Below are 26459 nucleotides of genomic sequence, written 5' to 3' on the forward strand. Positions count from 1 at the left end.
CATAGCTGTGAAACACAAAGTATACTGCTGGCATAATTACCCACCTCAATGTGAACATCATGAAGAAGACAACATATAAGTATTTGTAAGATAAGTGTCCAAATATGGCAGTACTACAGAAATGCAACATCAGTAGAAGTCACGCCTTTGCTTTACCAGTCTCTATAAGCTGCTCATTGGTTTTTCCAGGAACATGTGAACATTTCATAAAATGTTGGTTAACCCATGGTAACCTCTGTGGCATACAGCTGGCTGCTGAGGATTTCATTAAATGTTAGAAGGAGTTCCTACAAATGGAATTAAGGGCATATAACATGTGAGATGGTAATGAAAAATACATTTCACATGCTTTGAAGGATGCTTCACTGCAAACAAGATCTTTGAGGAATATTGCATAAAGACAGCAATTTGCAAGAAGCAAAAAATTGTTTTAAGAGGTTCTGAGTTTGTAGTATTTTTACTATATAACATCTGTATCTTTTAAAGTGGCTATAGCTACTGCATAAAAAGGAAGTATCTGTGAGATCCGTGACAGGTCATTCATATGTGTGCATACCACCTTCACAACCAATAAAACCTTTATCAATTGTTGTAAATATGTGTCTCAATCTATTACTCTATCACAAGGCATACAGCGATGTTCAATGTCAGGTACTAGATAAGCTTGTTCAAACTAAGCTTTCTTCCACCTCCCAGATTCAAAGAAAAGGACATATGCATGATGCCATACGTTCCTAAAAATATGTTTAAAGACACAAACAAAAATATGTTTAAAGACACTAAAAATATGTTTAAAGACACAAACAATTTCCTACCAGTTATTTGAGATGCACTATGTTGCAAGAAATTAGATACCAAAGGAGGTTTTAAGGTAGACAGTATTGGTCTGTTAAATGGTCATAATTAAAGTACATCTTCTAGAAATGATACATCTGCATATTGGCAAAAAGGGTCCATCCAACTTCCTTTATACTTGCTTTGTTTAATCTGAATGGTTATTTCTTAATTTACAGGTGGGCTAGTGAAGTCCTTGATGCCCTACATAAGACTTAACAATTCGATAATATTCATTTTTAATTATGGTATATTTTACATTCCAAAAAATCATTGCCTAAAAGTCCTTTTTGTAAGTTTGAACCCCAAAGTAGATTAAATACAGTGTGACTTTATGAATTTTTAAGAATTGTTCCATAAACTACATGTAAAAATCAATTCTAATAATTTTTAGTTAGACCTCTGTTATATATATTTGAGACAGGATCTTGCTATATCACCCAAGGCTGGAGTACAGATTCAAACTCCTGGGCTCAAGCAATCCTCCCACCTCAGCCAGCCACTTCATCTATGTTCACCTCCTCCTCCTCAAGGTCTTTCAGAGAGTTCACATCACACACAGAAACTGTTCTCCAAATAACAGCACTCCCACCTGTCTTCTCAAATCTTCTGGATTTCTCTTTACAGGATTCTACATGTTTTCCAAAACTTGATAATTAAAAAAGCAGCTTTCAGTCGACAATAAACTCATGACACATACTAACAATTTATGCATTTAGCTAGTAAGTTATATCTTATATAGTTAAAATCCTTTCAGTAATTATTTCGATTCAACCAATAAGAACTGACTGGTGCCAACCATCACTGTTAAGTGCTAGTTAACCATTTTCCCACCAGCATACCACCAGTTACAAGCAGAAGTTAATACTGACTGTAAGTGTAAACATGATATTTCTCTTTAATCTTCTAATCAGAGAAAGTAAACATAAACTTAAAAGGCAGTGGGCATTAGGAATTGCTTTCACATGGGTAAGCCAGTACAGTAAGAATAAAACACAAATAAAAAAGCATAATTAAGGAGAAAATCTTTTAACCCATGGCTTACTCATCCATCACATAAACTGCTTTGTAATTCTGTCCCGAATTTGTCTCTTTAAGGGAGGGAAGAGGATCATGCCCCTTCCCCTCCCATCTTTAGGAATCATTCCTCTTCCTGTTGCTACATGAGTCAGCACCACTGGAAGTGGACAGCTTCCTGCTATTTATTAAGAGGAAAGGTCTCCCCATAAACTAATATAGTGTAGATAAACCACAAACAAGGGTAAAAGATGGGCCCAAAAATGTGGTGGACAGAATTAACGACACACAAAACACAAACAACAAAAGTGCTGTTGGTGAATAAATGTCTATGTTGCTCACTGCTACAACTTTTTAAAACAAAATTTAAAATGTAACATTTTAACTACTAACTTAGTCATTCGTAATCATTATACTATAACAAGATAATGATTAATTCACTTAATAGTTAGGAATAATGAAATTTTCTTTATTATTACTTAGGCCTAATTTGCTTCAAAGGGCTTCCCTTACACCCCGCCACTCCTCAATCACCATCCTTAGCTGATAATATGATTACATGAAACTGTTTCTAGGTTTATCTCCTCCACTATACAACTTCTATTTCTACCATCCTAGTTATAGCACTTAATACTACATACCACTTATTGAATGCCTTCAATATACTTGGCCTGTTACATTCATTATCTCATTTATCCCATAACTACCTTAGGAAGTACTACTAGTTCCATTTTATACTTAAAGACATTGCTTAGAATTATAAATAATTATAAGAATTATAAGTACGTGGCAGTCAGAATTTAAACCCAATTCTGTTAACCCCCAAAGCCTGGATAAATTCCAGAGACATAATGCCTCATTCTATAATATACAAGATACGTAGGACAATAAGGCAATCATATCAAGATTCACTTATCTATTCAACAGAAATTCATCCAAGAAAAGTATGTTTTCAACATTACTGATCATTTGCATGCTTCTCTTTAGTACTGATCCTTCTCTTATGCTCAGAGAAGTAGCACACAAAATTATATAGTCAGACAACCTCAGTTCCTCCACTTACTTCTCCGTGCCACAGTTTCCTCACATGCAAAATGTGGACAATAATGTTATCTACCTCATGAGATTAAATGCATTAATATCTACAAAGTACTTGAAACGGTGCCTGGCACAGAGTAAGGAAGTGTTTATTAAACAAAAACTCTCTGTGGGTAGACTGTATCATATCTTCTTAATGGAAAACTCTGTTGATACACATGCACTTTATTTATGGAGAAATAACTTGTAACCCAAATACTTTTTAATGTTCCCTTAAGGTAAGAGAGTTAGCTGAAAGGGGACAAACAAGGAGCAAACTATTCCCAGGTAAGAACGAAAAGCTAACAACTAAAGCAGGAAGGGAGCAGAAGAGAAACTAAATTGGCTTCAGAATTCCAAAAGAACATTCTCCAGATTGACTTTTGGTCATTTGAAGTACTATAAGACCTTCAGATCATCCTGAGTTCAAAGGACAAGAATTTTATAAATTTTCATTATTGATCCTCCAATTCATGACTTGATAGATGTAAGTAGGATAGATATTGTTTTGAGAATACAAACTGGTATGTGTTTCTAAGTCAAGAATCTTTTTGTAACTTCCCAATACCTGTACCAAATGGTTTCTATTACTCTTAAAGAATTAACACATTTTTCATTCAGAGATTCTATTTTTAATAAAAGAAAATAATTAAAATTACTTTTTTTTTTTTTGAGATGGAGTCTTGCTCTGTCGCCCAGGCTGGACAGAGAACCTATGCAGCCTGAGTGACAGAGTGATCGCGCAGTGGCGCAGGCTCTACTCACTGCAACCTCTGCCTCCCGGGTTCAAGCTATTCTCCTGCCTCAGCCTCCCAAGTAGCTGGGACTACAAGTGCATGCCACCATGCTCAGCTAATTTTTGTACTATTAGTAGAGACAGGGTTTCACCATATTGGCCAGGCTGGTCTCGAACTCCTGACCTTGTGATCTGCCCACCTCGGCCTCCCAAAGTGCTGGGATTAGAGGCGTGAGCCACCACACCTGGCCTTTAAAATTACATATTTTATGATGACAGTTCACATTTAAGAAACTGAATCCCAAGCATGAGTAGTTTTATCTCTCCACTTTTCAAAAATAAGCTTCAATATACATAAATCCTCTAAGGTCAGAATGAATGAAAGAATAGAATAAAAGAACTATTCAAGCAAAAATGGCCAAGAGTGACACCTCCTCTACAGAAGTAAAATAAAACGGTCAACATTGCAAATAAAAATAAAATGATGAAATAAGAAAACATCTTGGGCCAAGAAGCAATAGCAATTGGTTATATTTAACTTAAATTTTATAATTGATTTAAGTAAAAAAAAAACTAACAGCTGAAAAAAAATCTTTATACAAAGAAATTGCAGAATAACTCTTTAAGTAGCATACAGTAGATTAAAGGTTGGCCAGGCATGGTGTCTCATGACTGTAATCCCAGCACTTTGGGAGGCCAAGGCGGGTGATCACCTGAGGTCAGGAGTTCAAGACCAGCCTGGCCAACATGGTAAAACCCCGTATCTACAAAAATACCAACATTAGCCGGACATGATGGCGGGTGCCTGTAATCCCAGCTATTTGGGAGGCTGAGGTGGGAGAATTACTTGAACCCAGGAGGCGGAGGTTATAGTGAGCTGAGATTGCAAGATTGCGCCACTGCACTCCAGCCTAGGCGACAGAGCAAGACTCCGTCTCAAAAATAAATAAATAAAGGAGAACTAACATAGATGAGAAAATATGTTCATGTCTCAAATTATTTTGAGTCTTTACTCAATTAGTATTGAAGGATATTTCAGCTGTTAATTGGGCACAACATCCAAAATTAACAAATCTTCAATTATTTTATTTCAATTAATCAGATAAAAGATCTGTGAATTATTTAGTAATTTATGGCAAACTTATTCTGTACAGAAAATACTAAACCCACACTACATTCTGATTTCAAAATTTCTTATTCAACATGAGATTCTTCCAGAGTTCACAAATACTCCCTTTCTTTTTTACAAAAATCTTTTTTTCTATGTACGTATTACAGCATGAAAGTCATGGATTACATATTTTTTTCATTTCTATAGGGAAAAAATACATGTTGTCCAATTAGTAAAATCTCTGGGAGTTTATTCTGCCTTTAAAGAAAGCTTTCCTTCCCACAAATCTAGTATATGTAATTCATTTAATGTTTAATTTCATAAATACCAATAATCAAGCTAAAGTGAAATTGCATTTAGATCATTACAAACCTAACAGGTGCTTTCTTATAATCCAAGACACTTTAAGCAATAAAACAATTCATATGAGATAAATTGTGTGAGTAATAGCATTGAAAGCCTTTAATAAGCAATAATTGACATCTTTTTTATTAATCACAAAATGTTCAAAAGTTCAAAAATGAAACTGAATCATTTTCAGTGATTGGGCTCCAAAAAGTTAATTATTTAACATGGCAGAAAGTCTTTCACTGACCCTACTTCCTCATTAGCCTCATTATTTCCTCATAACCCTCATACTTAACGGTATATATTCTTGCCACGAAGAACATCTTTCTGATCTCTAAACTCTCTGCAGCCCTGACTCCAAGCTTCTGCAGTAATTATTCCTTTACTTTCACATCCCTTCTCTCACTAACTTATTTGGTTAACTGCCACCCATATCTCAGGTCCTGGTTTAGTTGTCACTTCTCATAAAGCACCTTCCTGATCCTCAGGGCTGCAGGTAAGCACCTTTCCTATGTACTCTCACAGTACCATGTTCTTATCTGTAATCGCCTATAGAAAGTTATACCTTCTTTCACGTCAAATCCTTAAGAAACACGGTTGCCAGTATATTATAACCTTGTACCACCCATATTCCTTGAGAGCACTGCATAAAAGATATAAGGCTAGGAAAATCATACTACTACCGAGCAGAAATCATTCCAATTATTTTCAAATACACGAGGCTTATCTGAGAAAAACAACAAATGACTTCAACATACTTGCATTTTTAACATTACTGAAGATAAAACCAAAGAATCAAGGTCATTCTCATATTTATCTAAAATTTAACAAAGGTCACATTTTCTTCAGAACAAAGACTCAAAATTATAAAATACTAAGCAAATGATAGTCTACCTATTCCTCTATTTAACTGCTTTTCAATCTTCTTGGCTGGAAGCTTGTTATGTGCAAGGTCACTTTTACATCTTTTTTGTTTGTTTTGGGGTGGTGTGGTTTTTTTCGCTTTTTGTTTTCTGTGTGTATGTGTGGTTTTTTTTTTGTTTTTTGTTTGTTTGTTTGTTTTTTGTTTTTTGTTTTTTTTTGAGACAGGGTCCAGCTCTGTTGCCCAGACTGGAGTGCTGTGGAAATCATAGTTCACTGCAGCCTAGAACTCGAGATCCCAAGAAATTCTCCTGCCTCAGCCTCCTGCGTAGCTGGGATTAAAGGTGCACCATCATGCCCAGCTAATTTTTCTAATTTTTTTGTACAGATAAGATGTGACTATGTTTCCCAGGCTGGTCCCGAACTCCTGGCATCAAGCAATCCTCCTGCCTCAGCTTCCCAGAGCACTAGGATTACAGGCTTGAATCACCGCTCCTGGCCTTATCAAGGTTTTGTATCGAGATTACGGAAACCTGCCCATATTAAACAATGAAGGAAACAAAAAACACCTTTAGAGAAGGACCTCCTCTGAAACTTGTAAGCTGAAGCCTCTAGAACAAAACCAAATTAATATGAGAAGTAATTGGTGTCAAGATGGTGTCTCTAATTCACAGACTCTGAAAGCATAGGTATCAACTTTTTATTTAATAAAAACTATATTATTTTTTTCTGAAAATTAAACAGTTTAAAATAGTTTCAGTCTTTAGTTCAAATTCCTCTTATGCCTTCTCAAACTTTTACACTGAATGTTTTTCATGACTTGTTTTCCATTTTTCCTCACTAGCTTTTCCCCCCACATTTGTCAGGCAGTTTGTTTACATGGTACTTTCACATACATTATCACGCAGTTCATTTCTTCACTCATCCCATCATGCATTCATGTACCATGTATTTATCAGACATCCACTATGTACAGGAAATAGGGTTTGCCTTTGCATGTTTACTATATTAAAATAAAATATGTTGTTTGGAACAGTTTTAGATTTAGAGAAAAAAAAACTGAATGGTAAGTACAGAGTTCCCATTTACCCCTTTACCTCCCACACAGTTTCCCCTATGTTAACATCTTGCATTAGTACTGTATATTTGTTGAAATTAATTGCTGAGCCAGCGTTGATACGTTATTATTAACTAAAGCCCACAGTTTACATTGAGGTTCATTCTTTGTGTTACACATTCTACGGATTTCAACAAATGTATAATGACATCTATCCAGCATTATGGCTAGGACCTGATATTTTCAAAATATTAGGACCTGATATTTTCAGGTCCTAAAAGTCCCCTGTGCTCCACCTATTCATCCCTCTTACTCCCCAGATCTACCCACTTGCCCTGGGATTCACTAACCTTTTCACTGTCACCATATTTTTGCCTTTTCCATAATATCACATAGATGGAATCATACACAGCCTTTTCAAATTCACTTCTTTCACTTACCAATTGACATCTAAGTTTTCTCCATTTCTATGTGGCTTGGTACCTCATTTCTTTATATCTCTGAATAATACCTCATCATATGGATGTACCACAGTTTATCTATCCATTCACTTATTGAAAGACATCTCGGCTATTTGGAAATTAAAAATAAAGCTGCTGTGGACATTTGTGTACGGGTTTTTGCGTGGACCTACATTTCCAATTCATTTAGGTAAATATCAAAAAACGCATTTTAAAAATTTAGTAACAAAGTTAACACTTGATTTGTTTAAATGTCCCAATTTGACAGAAATTGCTCTTCTATTTGCATTTACTTATGAATATTCAGATAATATAGTATGCAAAAGTTTCTAATGGTTCTTGTCTCCTCAGAGGTCCATCTTGCACATTCAACTTACGCATGCCTACAATTCCTGTTAGACAAAAATAGCCATTATTTCTCTAAATGTACATAGCATAGCAAAAATGCTCCCCAAAATTTAAATCAATCTATAAATGTGCATTGGCTTTTACATTTTCCAGTGACAAACCTAAGCCAAATCAAGTCAACAATATTTATTAAGTACCTACTATGGGCAAATCACAGACCCTGCTGGCTGCAAACAGGGTTTTCTACTTGTCAGTGGTCTAAGAGTGTTCAGGATTCTGTCTACACCAGTGACTCACAATGTTCTTTAGAAGAAAATTCCATGAAAACCAAAGCAGTAAGTCATAACACTGAGATAGTGACTATATTAGTCCTATAAATCCCCTTCCTAATCTTCCTAGGATCAGTCCTGATTTTTCTTAAAGCCTATATAAAACCAGATATGTTTTTCCCAGTTCACAACATTGAATCTAGCATATAAAACTCCATTTGCTTTATACGGAGAAAGGGCCACTTCTTAATTCTGGCACCAAACATAAAAAATGAAACTTTAAAAGCTATTAGTAAAAAAAAAAAAAAAAATAAAAAAATTAAAAAGTTATTTTAACTACGACTTTTAAATTCAATGTTATGAAATAAATTTAACACTGCAATTATTTTGCCATATTCAGTTTCTTAATTATAAGCTTACAATGAGGTAAGCATGTCTTTAAAATATATTCAATTTTATTTAAAGATTGCTTAGTCTACCTGTCATTTGTCAGCCCTCTGCTATTACCCCATTACCCCAAATTTTGCCTCTCACTAACCCTCAGAATTAGGTCCATTAACTGCCCCAAAGACACCTGATCCCCTCCTCATCACTCCCTCTACCACCTTCCCAGCTGCAGTGGCTTAGAAATAGCTGCTGCTCAGAAACAGACCTCTCCATATTGAACTTGGAGCTCTCAAACTATGTTTCCTGAGACTCTTGCTCTGCTATAAAGCAGACTGCGGATACCACAGAGGTGGAATATTAACTTCATTGTGTCCTGAAAAACAACTGATCATGAAGGCCAACCAGGCCTACCCATAATTCTGAGGTGTGTCGGCAATGTTATATATAGGTAGGGTTTGCGTGGGCAGTCCCAGTTTATGTCTGTTACAACTTTTATCTTCAAAGCATCCTGATTTACACAATAAATTAGAAGTTCACCCTGGTCATAAGCACCCCTTCATTCTACACATTCACTTTATATTTTCCCTACCATCCCTTTAAACAATCACCCCCGTGGACATCTGGCCCCCTTTGTGCCACTGGCTATCAAAACTTTCTGAGCTTTAACTACAAGGATTCTGTAGCCACCACTTTTCATACACACTATATTCTATGCAGGCCCATTTTTAAATATGACAGATTTGTTTTATGAAAACCGATCAATTTCCCAATAAAGCCTTTCTCTTCCAAACTAAAAAATGTAATTAAAATGTCTTGCATCAGACTTAGAAGCATAAAATTACCAGAAATAAATCACAAACCAATCACCTTCTCACTGAAAAAAGTTAGGACAATGTTCTAAAGTCAAAAATAGCAATTGTTACAGAATTAATAGTAAAGATGAGTGCCTAGAATTAAAAAAGAAAAGGGTAGCCACACACACACACAATTCAATTACATTTTACAAATGGCAAGGTCAAAAAAAAATGTGTGATCCAAGAGCAGCAAATGGATGAGTAACAGTAAGGCAGAGGTTCAAGGTGAGAAACAAGTTTGGGGTAGCTTAATTAAGGATCTAAGGAATGACATTTAGAAAGCAGAATAAAGTAACAGGCAGGAGAAAGGCTGCAGGAGGTCCTAGAGAGTTAGAAGCAGAGTAAGAGCCAGTAAGCAGTTGACCAACATCAGATACCTGACTCTGCTGTGCTTGTGGGGCAGCCAATGATCAATTAGAATTTCCGTTAGTAAAGAGTGGGAAAAAGCATTCCCATGACTCACATGGGATAATTGCTAAATGGTTAATGCTGTATATAACTGCGTATTTTGTATCAGAATAAGTACAGCCCTCCAAAAGATAACTTGCAGAGTCATTCATCAGCTTCAACTGAGCAGCCTGATTGAAACCAGCTGAGCCAATGACATCACCACAGGCTTTTTACTATAAAAAGGGCAAGCTCTGTGAGGTCAGGAAGTAGAACTAAGCTCCGTGAACAGAAGCCAAGCTGAAAGAGGGAAGAGCCAAGAGAAGTTCAGAGAAGAGACTCATTCCAAGAAGAAGCTAGAATGAGCAATTTGCTCAGAGACAGCTGCAGAAGAAAAAGGCACACAATGGAAATCTTCCTTTAAGAATAAGGGGCTGCTGTTTCTCACTAAAGAAGTAAGTTATCTAAAGTGAAGTTTCAAAGGAGAAATTGACGGAAGCACTTTCACATTTTCAGTTCCTGGAACTGAAATCAACTATAACATCATCGTGGTAGTAATGTTCATGTAGTCTTTTCCCTCAATGTATATTAATTGAGCACTTACTATGGACCAGGCACTGTAGTAAGAAATGGGAACACATTAGCGAATAAAATGGACAAAAGTCACTGCCCTCTTAGAGCATATATTCTTGGAATGTAAAGCAATAAACAGACAAATATACGGCATGTCAAATAAGCATTAGAGAGAAAATTAAGAAGAAAAAGTAGCCAGATTGAGAATAGTGATATTTGAGCAGACGTAAGGAGGTGGGGAGACTAAGCCATGTGGGTATCTGGGAGAAAAGCATGGCAAACAGAGGTAATAGCAAATATAAAGGCCTTGAGCTGTGAATCTGTTTTCTTTTTTAAATAAATATCAAGAAGGCCACCATTACTGCTCAGAAAGAACAAGGGAAAGCAAGAGTCTGAGTGTGGACAAGTTAATTTAGACAGGCAAGTGAAAGTGTTAAGCAGGTATTTTGTATATATGAGACTAGAGGCACTGAGGAAAGATTCAAACTGTAGATAAAAACTGGAAACGGACCAGGTGTGGTGGCTCATGCCTGTAATCCCAGCACTGTAGGAGGCCGAGGCGGGTGGATCACCTGAGGTCAGGAGTTCGAGACCGGCCTAGCCAACATAGTGAAACCCCATCTCTACTAAAAATACAAAAATTAGCCGGGCATGGTGGCATGCACCTGCAGTTCCAGCTACTTGGGAGGCTGAGGCTGGAGAATCACTTGAACCCAGGAGGCAGAGGCTGCAGTGAGCTGAGATCACCTCATTGCACTCCAGCCTGGGTGACAGAGCCAGACTCAGTCTCAAAAAAAAAAAAAAAAACTGGAAACCATCAGTGTCATACATAAAAGAAGAATGCTTGAGCTCACTCCACAAATGCATTATATAGAAAAGAGAAGGGGGCATTCCAATGGTTAAATGGTTAGAGACTGGAGAAACAAAGAAGAAATAGGAAAAAAAAATGACTGAGAGAGAACAGCCTATGATGCAGGAGGAGAACCAAGAGCATGTGATTTGCAAGTACTCCAGAGAAGAATGTGTTCCGGGAGAGACAGTGTGATCAGCTGTGTTAAATGCTATGCTAAGTCAAATTAGATGAGCCTGCTATTCAACCTGACAACACTGAGGTTATTGGAGACTTTGACAAAAGAAGGCTCTGAAGCAGTGAATGAGGAAAAGCTTTGGAGAGGGTTCAAGGAAGAATGGGAGAAGAGCAATTTGAGACAGTGAACGTACATAATTCTTTTGGAGAGTTTTGCTCTGAAGAGAAATGCAGCAGTAGCTGGATAAGAACATGGGCTCAGGAGAAGCTTTATTATTTCAAGACAGTAAAAACTATGGCATCTTCTGCTAATGAGTATGATCCAACAAAGAATAGAAAATGCTGATGCAGAAAAGAGGACTTCCTGGGGCAATGCTCTTAAATACGTAAGAGGGGGTGAGATCCAGTAAAGAAGCCTTGGCTCTTCTTTGGTCTAAGTGAAATTTAATGTGTATGGATTATAATATAATTTGATTTGTATAAAAAGTTAATATAATTGAGTTGGCTATGAATGAGAATGTATCAAAAAAATTTGCCACAACTTTCTGAAAGTCTTAAGTTATTTAGGCTATGCTACAGATGGTTTTTAAGTCAATCAAATGTAATAAGAAAGTGGTTAAACATTCAGCATCCAACTCAACTAAGTCAATCGAATGTAATAAGAAAGTGGTTAAACAGCATTCAACTCAAGTAAGAAAACAAACTAGGTTCTTCCATAATTTCATTTTAATTTTATATAGTGAAAAAAGCATCCTCCCTAAATTAATCAAAATGCTTGTCTACATATAACAAAGACAGACTTGCTAGTTATTGAGGGTCTTTTTCCTGTACTAGTTGCCAAATGACAAACCTGGGGAGGAAAACAGAAGAATCTGCATTCAACATACATTCAGTTAGACCTCAGGGGGCCTATAAATACACATTCATGGAGCTTTCCATATCTACAAAAATTGATATTTGATATCCCTCCACCCCATACCTTTTCCTGGGAAAAGCTAGTCCAGAAAATGAGAATATATTATCTTCGCATCTATGGCAAGTTTGAAAGTGACTTGCAGTTATTCTATATGAGCTTAGATAATCCACTACCAAAATCATTTTAAATCTGGCTTAACTGCTAAGGCCAATTTTGAGTAGAAGTGTTTTTGACAGTCAAAGCCTTGATAACCACTTCACACCTACCTAGAGGCCCCTGCAACCAAGAGCTAAGTGGCAACAGAAAAAAACTACAGTTTTTCTATCCTATCTGTGAAAACCAGAAGAATGACAAAGGTGATTAGATGAGTGAAATGTGATGGACAGACCTCACTACAATTCATGTTAGATACAGGTCCAGACCTCTTCCCAGAAGATTGCTTTAAGTTGGTAAGACATGGACTTACCTGATAGGTCCTGAATTCCACTGGCCTGTTCTAAATGACAGCGCAGTCAGCATATTCCCTGGATTGGACTGATCTCAGGGCTTCTAGTCCTGGCTTCCTGTGTCAAGGTAGTGTTTGACTCACACTCATTCTGGGTTCTTCCCCATTTCTTCTTTGGTCTATTCACTTGTTGATTTTGCAACCCAAATAATACTATTGTCAATAGATGTCCAAAGACTGGGGTAGAATTAATTTAACATAATGCATGTGGCTGCTTAAACACCCTAGCAAGCTTCCCTTCCTGAGCCTGCTGAGATGCAGGAAGTAAAGCAAGGCTCCCACCCACCTCGCACCACAGAAACATGGCTGATTTACACAGAGGAGGAAAACCTGTTTCCGGGGCAGTCCCCAACATATTTAGCATGGACTTTTAAAACAGCTCATCCAACTCTAATTTGAAATCTAACTTTGATAAAATAAGCAGCCATTTTAAGTAAATGCCTTTCTTTTCTATCTATCCTTCACTTATCTGGGTCAAGTATTATTTGGTTCATATGTATTAAATAATAAGAGTTAATTTTATAGGTTCACATAATACAATTAACACATTCTCAATCAAAGCTCTTTCTTCATGTTTTAAAAATGTAAAACAAAACAAAAAACCCTTCAAAATCAAAACCTGCACTACTCAGTTTTCTCACAAATTATTAGTATTACCACTTTACAGGAAAATAAAAATTTACGGGAAAGCGTCAAATTTCAAAAAGATGGTTTTCAAACACTTGGTTTTAACATGTAGCTGGTCAACAACATAGGTTCAGATTAAAGCAAGTATCTATCCCTAATGTGGCAAATAATTTCGTGACTTGAAATAGCAAAACATCTAAGCCTTGGTATCAATACTCTCTGTAACAAGAGAGCATTGTCTAGCATGGCTCATATTGTTGCTTTTGGCTATAATGTTCTTTGATTTCCTTCTACACAATGTTATAAATCATTAGTCTCTCAGGTTAGTAAAAGTTTACTCAACATAGAGTGGTATTTTTAATTAGCAATAAAAAAGGTAAATAAGTCAGGTGCAATACAAGTAAATTAACAAAATAAGAGTATTTTAAAGTTAGAAAAATCAGTGCTTGCAGGGAAAAACATATTTCTCTTAAGTAATGTGGCAAACCGCTCTTAAGACTGCTGCCTGGCTCCACTTCCTCCTTCCCTGGGAACTGTCAGCACTCTGGCAGGTACGCAATCATTCTGCAACCCAACCTACAGTTGATTGATTTGGAGGGTAGACACCAAACTCATGTAAAGACAATCAGATTTTCTCTCCCTGGAAGATGCCATTGTTATCTGATAAATCCAGGTTGGGTACCACTAATAACTAAGTCATGGTATGACTCTGAAGAACACACCACTACTGCTTCCAAAGCAGTTCTTAGTTCCTAAGGCCACCCTGGTTTCTTCCTATTCTTCTCAAGACCGACGTTTCGGTTACTCCCAGGATTCCTTTAAATCTTAAAAGTTTACATTTAAATTAATTAAAACTAAATAAAATGTAAAATCGAGTCTTGTAGTTGAACTAGACATATTTCAAGTGCTAAATAGTCACATATGACTATTGACTACCATGCTGGATAGCTCAGATTCTCTAAACATTTTCCTCATCACAGAAAGTTCTACTGGACAATGATCCCCCAGAACCTTCTAATAAATTTCCTCTTTTCGTAAACTGCTAGAATCAGGGTTTGTTTTATGTGTCTTTGGTTATTGTTTGCTTTATATTTGTATCCATAAGCGTAATCAGGAAGTATAACGGTAACTTTCTGGAAATCTTGTATAGGATTTCTAGCCAATTTCAAGGGTTTCAAGTCTTGGAGTTAACGTTACTTCAAAACTTAAAAGTTTACTCACATGACTCCTGGACACCTCCTGGGTCACAGAATCATGGAATTTAAAAGCTTGGAAAAAACCTTAGGATATATCTAATTCAATTTTCTGGTTTTTTACACATGAAGACATTAACACCCACAAAGCTTGTAACTTGCTTTTGTTTCTGAACAGTACTTAAATTTGGCTTAACAGATTATTTAACACAAGATAAAAAAGATACCAACTAAAAATGTAATATAAAACATAATTCTGCAAATCTCATGATTACACAAGTAACAAAGCATGAAGTTTAAATATTTATTTACTCACTAAGCTGTTACTACACCAACTCCTTCCTACTCCCCACCCCCATGTCTTTTTTTTTTCCCCTTATTTATTTTGTAAGGTGCATTTCCCGTGGTTACCATTGTTTTCAATGTCATAGTTACCCATATCTAAAAGGCACAGAAAACATTCTGTACTTTCAAATCTGGGAGCAACTACATTTTTTGTTTTAATTTTTATTTTTCACTAGAACCTTTATGTTCAAATATTCCACATGATTAGTCATCTGTACAGATTGGAATCTGGATAGCTGAAGATGTTTTTATTCAGTTGCTTTTAAACAAATAGTAACCAAACATCATTTAAAATATGGGGATTAAAATGTCATACTTATTCATCAATAGATGTCAACTTGCTAAAGCAAGTTCTTTTGGCATCTTCTTAAGAAACGTATTGTTTCTAACAACAGCAAGAAAACCACACAAACACAAACCCAAATACTGATGGGAGACAAGGATTCTCTATCTTGTCTCCCTCTATCTGTACTCACTGTCTCACACCTCAATGCACTAAAATCTGTAACGTCCACACAGCACCGAGATTTTACAGGTTTCTTTCAGGTAAATATAGAATTCAAAATTCATGCAATATTAATTTTGACATAAAGGATTATGTTTAAATAATTATTATCCTTAACTTGCTTTCCTTTAATCATATCTTATCAAGTAGTAGAAGAGGAGATTATGGCCTCCCAACCATCCCTTCCATTAAAGATAAATTGCTTATACTTTCCCTGCTAAATAGATTTACATCTAATATCACTAATCTGTAAATAAATGGAATACAAGATTTATAACCCCTGTACATATCAAATCACTTGATACATGTTTTTGTACGGCTTAAAGAGTTCCCCCTTCTTATATCACATTGCACAAGCCGGTGTCCCACATCATCTGAAACAAAGAGATACATTTCAAAGAATTAATTGATACTAATTCCTTTCCCTTCCCTTTCAAATGCCACTGTGTGTATGTGTGTGTGTGTGTGTGTGTGTGTGTGTGTGTGTGTGTGTGTGTGTGTGTGTGTTTTCTAATACATATCGATGTTGGCTACTCCTATCTCAGGGAAACACCTCTCCCAAGATGGTCAAGCACGACCCACAAAGTCAACAAGGGGAGTTCTTGAACTTATCAATGCAAGCTGCTATGAATCATGCCATTAATCAATACTAGTGTGAATCACCACAAAGCCGGTCCAGGGAACACAGACCAAGACTTTGCAGTCATTCGACAAAAGTTTTGGCTGATAATTTACACAATGAAAACAGAAAGGCAAAAACAGCATAAACTCCTACACCTAAATTGCAATGCAAAAGCACATATACTTTAAAGCAGTGGTCCCTAACTGTTTTGGTGCCAGGGACCGTTTTCGTGTAAGACAATTTTTTCATGTACAAGGCGGGGGTGGATGGATGGTTTCAGGATGAAACTGTTTCACCTCAGATCATCAGGCATTTGTTAGATTCTCCTAAGAAGCATCCAACTTAGATCCTCATATGTACAGTTCACAATAGGGTTTGTTCTCCAAGGAGAATCAAATGCCACTGCTGATCTGACAGAAGGCAGAGGAGCTCAGGTAGTAATGCTTGCTGGCCAGCCACTAACCTCCTGTGTGCCCAGGTTCCTAACAGGCCACAGACTGCTACAGGTCGGAGGCCCAGGGGACCCCTGCTTTAGAGAAAATATGCTAAAGCAAATAAATATGTATGTTAAGGCAAATAAACACAAATGCCAACCACAATCTTAGGTGGCTTTTGTTGAGACACCCGACTCCTTTAAAATACTTGCATATACTATGGAAATGATTACAAATTATTTAGGTCATAAAGTTTTGCACCTGGAAATATCTACTTCACTGAAAAGTTACCAAGAAGGTAGAAAAATCCTGGAATCTCACAAATGGAAGTTATGAAGTTAATTACGTTAATAAAATTCAAACAACTAATTAAAAAACAAAAACTGTCTTACACACTTTAAGGGTCTCTATAACCAAACTCATAGCATCTGCTAGCCATAATTTCAAAATGGAACTCAAAATACTCTCACAGGCCACTGTGTCAGAATTTTAACCATTCCTCCAAAACTGGTAGTTTACACAAATGCTATAAAAAATTAAGTATAAGAAATTCAGCTTCAGCATCCATAGCTGGACATGACAGACCATCTCAGGAGAATCTGAAGGCCTATAAAAGAAGCCTGATCCTTTATCAAGGTCTGAGTAAGTGGGTCAGCTGTCACCTGTGACAGAGTTCAGCCTCTCACAAGAAAGTACATTAGCTGCAGCAGCCCAGGATCAGTTTTCGACAGCTGGGACTTGAACCTGTAGGATTTTAAAAGTTGTTAACTTTTTTTGATGAAAAGCATATATATTCTTTCCAGCAGGTTTTGGATTGCACAACAGAAAAAAAAAAAAAGTATGTGTGTAATATTAATATACCTTTTCTCTTAAAATAAATAGTAATGTGAGGCTATGTTTACTAAACTTTTAATGTTTAAAAATTAAATAACAAGGTCATTCTCAAATCTGTATTTCATTTCTGAAACCCAGTAACTGACAGACAAAAAAAAATAGTTACTAGCAGAAATACCTTAGCTAATTTACCTTGTTTTAACAAAGCTTAAAATTTTTGAATTAGCCACCATCTTACATTTTTGATTACTTTAATTATACATACTTAAGCATTAGAAACACAACTTAAAAAGTCACATTCATTTTTATATAACACTTTTAATGTGTACATTTAGAGTGCATCACCAAAAGATATAGAAATTAAAAGCCTTTAGAGAGAACTGATGTTGACCTTTACTTCTTGACAACATTCTTGTTTTGAAAATATTCAGCATAGAAACACAAGCCTCTGATCAAAACAGTGGCAACATGTTAATTTCCTTAGATATGCAGCCCAACTCTAGGCATGTGAGTGTGAAGTTCAGACACCCTGAGCAGCCTGTCTTCTGCTCCCATTCAAGTGCACAAAGTCCTCTGCTTAAAGGACCCACCATCATTCTACAGCCAGGACAAGAAAGACGCTATTTCAATTAACACAAGTATAAAATTATTTTTCTGCCTTCCAAGGTATACAGATCACGTGGCATTAAAAAGGAAACAAAATAGTAGCTAGTGTTCTATTAACCTCTCTTTTTTTTTTTTTTAATTGATGTGAGGAAAGTGCCTAAAGGAGTTTTCAGTAAGTTTGCCCAAGACAAACTTTAAATTTATATTGCTAATCAAAGGCTGGTAACTTAAGTTCTGTGCAAACTCAAGAAATGCAAATAAAATACAGTTTTCAACAACCCAATTCCTGCTGCATCATACCATTTTTTTCCTTCCTTGACCCAACCGTTTAAGTCAGACAGGTTGAGGAGACAGTCACCTTCAAGAAAGCCCTTTGCCCTGCCAGCTTAAAGTCATGCCAGCAACCAAAGTAGAATCTGATATAAAAATAGGAGTCTGAGGAATCCAGGGAAGGCAAAGCACATCCTGAGGCCAACAGGTTAGATTGCCATCACCTCTTGGTGACAGAAACTTAAGGCTATATCTGAAGGCACAATAGTATTAACCTCCCCTACCAAATTAATCAGTTAAGTCAATAAATCACTAAAATGGCCAGATGTCTGGCTGAAAAACCAAAGTGAATGAATTGGTGTTGTAGAGTCACAGGTGAAGGACATTAATCTACTTTTGTACAAGTCTTAGCTTATACATAAAGGCCATTTATTTTACTGAGGCAAAATTAATGGTTACCTACCCCCCAAAAATTGCAAGGCTGTCATTACAAATGCATTGGAATACTAATGTGGAATTAATTAATTACTCTCAAGTTATCTGAATTTTCAGGCACCCTAGGTTCAAACAAATTAACAGATTATAATTTTTAAAAGAAGGAAAGGAGAGGGGAGGAGAAGGGAGAAGGGAGCGGGAGGGGGAGGGGAGTGGTCGGAGGAGGGGATAAGAGGGAACAACGGGAAGGAGGGGAAGGAGGAAGGGCAGAAGGGATTAATAACAAAATAGTGCTACCAAAAGGAGAAATAAAGTTTAGCATGCTAGTTACAAAGACATGATGATGTTCATGAGGTAGTAAAAATATTATCTGTGTATTTAAAAAAAAATAAAGGAAGCAGCTGTGTAAATATTTTAACTTTTTCCCCCCAAAAAATGTTTATATGCTGTTCTGAGGATAGAAATAATCCAAGCTGGGGCAATGTGTTAACCCCCTAGAAAACACACACACACATATACACAGGCACACACAAAATGAAGTGCCTTGAGTCTCTTCATCCTTCCCCTTTTTGATTCGAAACATTTCCTCCCAACTTGGCTGCAAGACAGAAATCCTGAAAGTGAGGGTCATCAGCAATATCTGTCACTCTCCAACTGCGTAGGAGGAAAAAAACAAGCTCTTACTTACCGGTTTCAATTTTAAAAAAAAGAAAAATGACACTGGTCTGCTATCTTTTATAAACCCATTATAAATGTAATTCCAATTTCATTAAAACTATGTATATCTACATTAAAATATACTCAAAAGAAAAGTTACAACAAAAATAACTCTACAGATAAAATTTGCATTTTATTTTGCACATTTCCTTCATATCTGTATATCAGAATACATATATACATATAGGTGTAATCATGGTTTGCTTATAGTTTTGTATTCTGCACTTTCACTTGGCATCTCATAACATTTCCACATGCTCCACATATTTGTAAAATCATTAAGAATTCCATAATATTCCACAAATGCGTAACCTATTTATCCACTTGCTTATTTATTTCTACCTGCCTTCTTATAGAATGGGCTTAGCATACAATCACCCTCATTTGAGGTAGACTATTATGATTTCCGCTATTCTCTTTTTGGACACTTCAGATGTTTCCAGTTGCCTTCCTCATTTTGCAGTGAAACCTGCAATGAGCAACTTCATGTAATAAAACTCCCTTTCTGAATTTAATCATTTCATGATTAATTATCAGGTGAGTTAATGAGTCAAAGATTGTAAATCCAGTCTCTTATGTATAAACATATATAATTTAGTGTATACATTTTCATAGATTTTTTTATACATAATATATGCATATATGTGAGGTTGTTTTTAAACTTACCTTTCATTTTACATTAAATTTCTCCCTACCCTCAAATATGAGCCTATGACTTCTGTGAATCTGTCTCATTCAAATGTCACTTGATTCCAGTTATATATTCAATTTAACAATATCACTATAATCCCAAAATGTCCGTGTATGTGTGTGTGTGTGTGTGTGTGTGTGTGTGTGTGTGTGTGTGTCAGATGTTTAAGACTAACATTAAAATGGGCTTACATGCCCTAAGATCATGCTGCTAGAATGGTGCAAGGAAGTGTTAGGAAGGAAGCTAGCCTGACATCAGAAATGTGCCACCCACATGCATGTAATGAAGACTGTGTGACACCAACATTGTACCTAGCAAGACAAAAGTGATCTACAGTTTTAAGAGATGAGTGACATAAAGTTAAAAGTCAACAAAAGTTTACAAAACTTGCCAAGAAGCAGCTAGCAAAAATCTTGAAAATAGTAATTTCTCTAAAGGATATAACTGTTTCTAGTTTGATTAAGTCATAAGATGCATTCTATAAGAAAGATCATTTCTGTTACCTCTATCTCCAGTTTGACTTTATCTGGTGCAGTCCCAGGAATTTCCTTTGGTCACCCATTCCGCTCCTGTTAATGGCCCAACAACTGAGGTGGAATTGCCATCCACATTAAACCACCCTTCACATTTGCTTTCCCATCACCATGTTTTATTTTTAACAACACTTATCAGTAACTGGTATTTTCTTGCTTAATTAATATAAATATTTCCTTGCTTAAATAATATAAATACATGAGAATGTAAGCCTAAGAAAGTCAGAATCTTGTTTCTTTTTCATTCATGTAAACAAATATTTAGAGTCCCTACATATGCTGGACAGCGGATGGAGCAGCGATCAAAACAGGCAAAAATGCATACACCCTCGTGAAGCTTACATTCCAACAAGGAGAGACAGACAACCCAGTACAAGAGTCAAATAGTATGTTAGAAGGCAGTTAATGCTATTGAGAAAAATAAAACAAAGAAGGAACACAGGGAGTGCCAGAATAAGGGTACAGGTATGTGGTTGCAACTTAAACATCATCTCCAGCACCAACAACAGGGCTTGGAGGCAATCAATGAATACCACCTCATGGCATGGGGCCAGACTGACATAACCCAACTCCCTGGATACAGTGATTGGTTTTGAGGCATGCAAATAAAATCAGAGTCATTCAGACGCAAGAGACATTGGAGCTAGCAAGCTCCACTGTATTTTGGTGTGAACAGGCAAGGCTTGGAGCTACTATAACCATTTTGCTACCATAAGAACGAAGCCATCGTAAGTAGGAAAGCACAATGTAGGAAAAGCAGAACCTAAGAGAGCAAAATAACCAGGATTGTTTACATTATTTGATTGTCTGCTGCAAACTGTACCTGATGTTTTGCCCCTTAACTAGGCTATTCAGTTATTCAGTTACTTAGCGTAATTAGAACCTCTAAATCAACTAAATTAGTTCTTCTATGTGGGTCAAAATAATTTCCTGCTTTGCTTTCACTAATAGGAGTAATCTTTGGGGCCAATTCTTCATTTGAAAAAAGTCAAGAGTTGCTGTGTGATGTTGTTTAATCCACTCTGAGCTAGGTTTCCTATGACTTGCAACCTAAGGAGTCTGTATTGGCATGCATTCTAATTTATTATGTAATCTGAGGATTGCCTTCCCAACACATGGTATGCTCATCACTATGTCCTTGTTCCAGCTCTGGAGTACTTCCTCTGCCCTCCACTCCAAGCCTCAATTAGAGGAAGGTCCTCCACTCTACCAGTCCACATCCATATCTCCATTGCTTTCACAAAGCATTCACGAATTAATCCCTGCATTATTCACTCAATCATTAACTCTAACAAATGTTTAGCAGACACTGACAAACACTGAGAATAAGATTAATAACGCAACATCCTTGTTCTCCAGGACATTTCAAAAAGGAAGGAAAATACTTGAATGAATATCTGTAATAGCAAACACAGGCTGATTACTTGGACAGAGTGATATGCAGGAGACAATGAGTGTGTGAATGGTGGAGTAAACAAATGTCTTTGGAATGGCCCACAACTTCCCTTACCTCCACTAGGCTTGACAGTGGTATCAACTTGTCCTATAACACACATGGGCCAGTCACAGTGGCTCACACCTGTAATCCTAACACTTTAGGAGGCCGAGGTGGGCAGATCCCTTGAGCCCACGGGTTTGAGACTAGCCTGGGCAATGTGACGAAACCCTATCTTTACAAAAATAAAAAATTAACCAGGCATGGTGGTGTACTCCTGTAGTCTCAGCTATTCGAGAGACTGAAGTGGGAGGATCACCTGAGCCCGGGGAGTTCGAGGCTGCACTGAGCCCATGAACACACACACACACACACACACACACACACACACACACACACACACACACGGCCCCTATAGTGGGACCTGACTCTTCCCTAAAAAGTTCTAAAGTCTTTAAGGGCAGAACTCTGTCCTATCATTCTTTTAGAGCTTCTAACATTTCTAGCATATTATACATAGTAAGTCTCCAGTAATTGTTTATTAAATTAAAATATGGGTGTTTTGTACTCAAACATTTGAAAAGAATCATAGATGCTGTTTATCTGTAGTCCTAGTTGACTTTCATTGCTTTCTGAAACTATCAATTTTCTCTTATCTGTTGTAACAGCTGAGAGCTTATCAGAAGAGCTCGTCCTAAACCAGCAGTACATGCGCCTCTCCCATGGCATCACCACATGGCCTCTAAATCAGCTCTTCTTTGTGGGTCGAAATAAGTCCCACTTTGCTTTCACTAACACGAGTCCTCTTAGGATCCAAGGAAATAATTACTTTAGAGCTCTACTTTTAAATACTATATACAGAAGCCTCTATGCTTTGGCAATGAATTGAAGAGAGATTTTCTATTGCCACAGAACTCCTTAATCAGGCTCTTCTCAATTTAGAAAAATAAATTTAAAAGACTGACAAACTAAATGGAAGTAAGTATAGCTTTTGGTCCTTAGGATAGGGCAAACAACAATTAACCAAAAAACAAGGGGTTGGGTGGATATAGCATGTTCCTGAAAAGTTTTGAAGATTCTTAAAAGCTAATGTGATTCAAAAGGGAAGAAAGTGTTTTTCTCATATGGTGAATATTCAATCTAGTTTGTATTGTTTTTCCACATGACAATCTTATGTACTATATCACATAATGTAAATTATTTTCTATTTCCAAACCTGTGTGGTCATTTACAGGCTAAGTTTGATAAACCAACTTGCTAACCATCCTATCCAAATCTCACCTACTATTTCAAAATGTTACATTAAAATTTTGGTACCATTGTACTCTTAGTGTTACGGTCAGAGAATGCATGACTGGTGAAGTAAGGTCTGGGAAGCTGGCCTAGAATCATAACCCACACTCACAATGTGGTCAATGGGCAAGTGCATTCTGAAGTTCACAGCAGGAAAGGGAAAGCAGCATGGAAAACATGCCCTTTTCCCCATTTGAATCCTCCTACCCTTCGTTTTCTCCTCCTTTACCTGCTTGCTCAATCACAGGTAATAATATTATCCCCCCTTTTCTGTCTTCCCATGCTTCACTTTTCCATAACACAATTTGGGCAGCCACTGACTGCCTAGTGGCCAGGACAGGGAATAAGACACGCTCAGGAACTCTTGATTCTTCAGACTTTAAAGGAATACCAACCAGCCCAGCCATGGCTGTGTCCTTGTAAGAAAGGAAGAAATATTGGTCACTTTCTCTTTGATGTTTACCTATTCCAATAAGAGTGTGAAGGGTGGAGTGAACACATGTCTTTGGAATGGCCCACAACTTCCCTTACCTCCACTAGGCTTGACGGTGGTATCAACTTGTCCTATAACACACATGGGCCAGTCCCTCACATTTTTCCACATGTAGAAGATGCTCCTGTTCCCCACCTGCATGTCTTCTAGTGTGGAATGAGAGAAGAGACATCCAGAGGCCCACGCCCTCCCTTCACCTCCACCACAGCCATGTAATTAGGTGAACTTGGGCAAGTCACTTCAACTCCTTAGGTCTCAGCTGAACCATGTGATTGCTAGGCCACTTGTAGCTGAATGTTCTGCTCCATTTTTTAAGACTCCTACAGCTTTGCTTTATTGTTTGCTTATTTTTTTTCTCTATCTCTCTTTTGCTCCATGAGGGCAGAGACAATATCCGTATCATCAGACACTAGGAACGGGCCTGGCAGAAGACAGCCAGGAGGCATTATGTAAGGAGAATGAATGTACCGAGATAGGAAAACCAATATTTTCACATTTAAAAGGCAATCTTAACAAAGCAATAAGGAAGAAACAATGATCCGCTTTTTTAGTTCACTAACAATAGTAACTGAGGAATGTCAACATCATCAAGCCTTCATGTAATACAGATAGAACAGTAAATCTCAGAAGAAGTGGAATGGAGATGGTGGCTGAGGTCATAAGAATCACTTATATAATAAGAATCACTTATATTTGCAGTTACAGAAAATGAGTGAGCTTATAAAAAGTACTTCTTGGACCTTGTGCCTTCATAATCCAGTACTAACGTGGGACTCCAAGCATTCATCTTTGAACTAGGTATCTCATCAAATAATTCTGAAGCACTGATGCTCATCAACACATCAACCCAATTAGGAACCATCAAATTAGGCTCCTTCCAGTCCAGCAATATGTAACTCTATGACACACATTAAGTTTTACCAAATCTCTATTTATTTGTTTGCCTTGGGGTATTTCAGTATTATAATTTTATAACCACATATCAAGTAGATGCTATAATTTCATGCCTTACATGTACCTAATTTAATCATTTATATTAAGGCCTATATTTGTCTCTAATATTAGTATATTCTAAGAGTATGCTTTATGAATTTTAATCATAAAAAATACATTATATATGGCAAAGAGGAGAAAAATAAGGTTCCTTCCATCTGGGGCAGGGTTTCAACCTCAGCATTATTTACACTTTGGGCTTGATAATTCTGTGTTGTGGGGGGAGTTCTATGCATTGTAGGATGTTTGGCAGCATCTCTGGCTTTTACTCACTAGATACCAGCACTCTCTTGCTAGTTGTAGCGATGAAAAATAACTACAGACATTGCGAAACCCACCCGCTTCCTGCACCAGAAACCACTAAAAAAAAAAAATTAAAATAATTTAAATAGTCATGGGTCCCAAAATACAAAATGTCCATTAATGTTTATACACAAGGTAAAGCTATGGGATCAATAGGCAATTACTTAAGAAAAAGGGCTACTGGTATACTTGGTGTGAAAGTATATTCACTCGGGCCGGGCGCGGTGGCTCACGCCTGTAATCCCAGCACTTTGGGAGGCCGAGGCGGGTGGATCATGAGGTCAGGAGATCGAGACCATCCTGGCTAACAAGGTGAAACCCCGTCTCTACTAAAAATACAAAAAATTAGCCGGGCGCGGTGGCGGGCGCCTGTAGTCCCAGCTACTCGGGAGGCTGAGGCAGGAGAATGGCGTGAACCCGGGAAGCGGAGCTTGCAGTGAGCCGAGATTGCGCCACTGCAGTCCGCAGTCCGGCCTGGGTGACAGAGCGAGACTCCGTCTCAAAAAAAAAAAAAAAAAAAAAAAAGAAAGTATATTCACTCATATTTTAGTGGCTTCAACACCTTTATGAATAGTCAGGCAAATGAGTTTTATCAAAACGGTCATCTATTTTCTATTTTGTACATAAAGCTTACACAGGTGGAAAAACCTCCAAAATTAGTACACGCATGTTCTAAGACTATGAAGAAATTCCAAATAACATTTTCTTAACCTTCTTTTTGGAAAACTGGACACTGTCATTCAAAATCTTACTGTAGACTCCATGATTTAAGACCATGTCTAGACAGAATGAAACAAAATGGGGACTTGGCAATTCTTTGGTATTATTACTTTGCTTCAAACTTTTCTCTTTGGGATTTAAATTACAGCTTTTAGCTGTCAACACTAATAAATTTAACCAGATGATTAGCAAACTTACAAATAACTTTTTGCCATATAGGCATTACCTACTGTCATGAGTTAAAGATGTTTCCATTCCCTCCTATGATTTCTCTTCAGAACAGGTTTGGAATCCCAGAGGAAAGTGTAAAAAGTTTAAAAAGAAAATCACTCATTCTGCAAGTTTAACACTAGAGAGTGAGATATTTTATTCCAATGGATCAGACCCAACAAGTTATGAACTTTAGATAAACTTCTTTGGAACTGTAAGACCTCAAGAATGTTTCCTTCTGTGCTTTCTTTTGTAACAGATTTGAAAATAAGCTGGAGTTGTTGTTGTTGTTTCTGAAGGAATATTACAGGTCTTTCAAGCAAAATGTGTCAAGAAGAGAGTCACATTGACTGTTTAACCTTAGAATTATATATATGCATTTTAAACATGTTCCTAAATGGTAGCACAAAAGGAATTTCCTAACCTTGTTAA

General features: G+C 37.0%; 1 protein-coding gene across 3 annotated transcripts in view, besides 1 other annotated feature; it reads right to left on the reverse strand.

Moving 5' to 3' along the window:
* The window catches only part of PPP3CA (protein phosphatase 3 catalytic subunit alpha), a 324109-nt gene that overhangs the window by 246292 nt on the left and 51358 nt on the right, over positions 1-26459 (reverse strand). The gene's annotated exons all lie outside the window — the stretch shown is intronic.
* Positions 9823-10117: an enhancer, noted in NCBI's record as "tiled region #14793; K562 Activating DNase unmatched - State 9:DNaseU". NCBI's record gives its function as "activates a minimal TATA promoter and a strong SV40 promoter by Sharpr-MPRA in K562 cells {active_cell/tissue: K562}" and the evidence as "EXISTENCE:reporter gene assay evidence [ECO:0000049][PMID:27701403]".

Source organism: Homo sapiens, chromosome 4 (assembly GCF_000001405.40).
Source record: "Homo sapiens chromosome 4, GRCh38.p14 Primary Assembly".
Classification (NCBI taxonomy): Eukaryota; Metazoa; Chordata; class Mammalia; order Primates; family Hominidae; genus Homo; species Homo sapiens.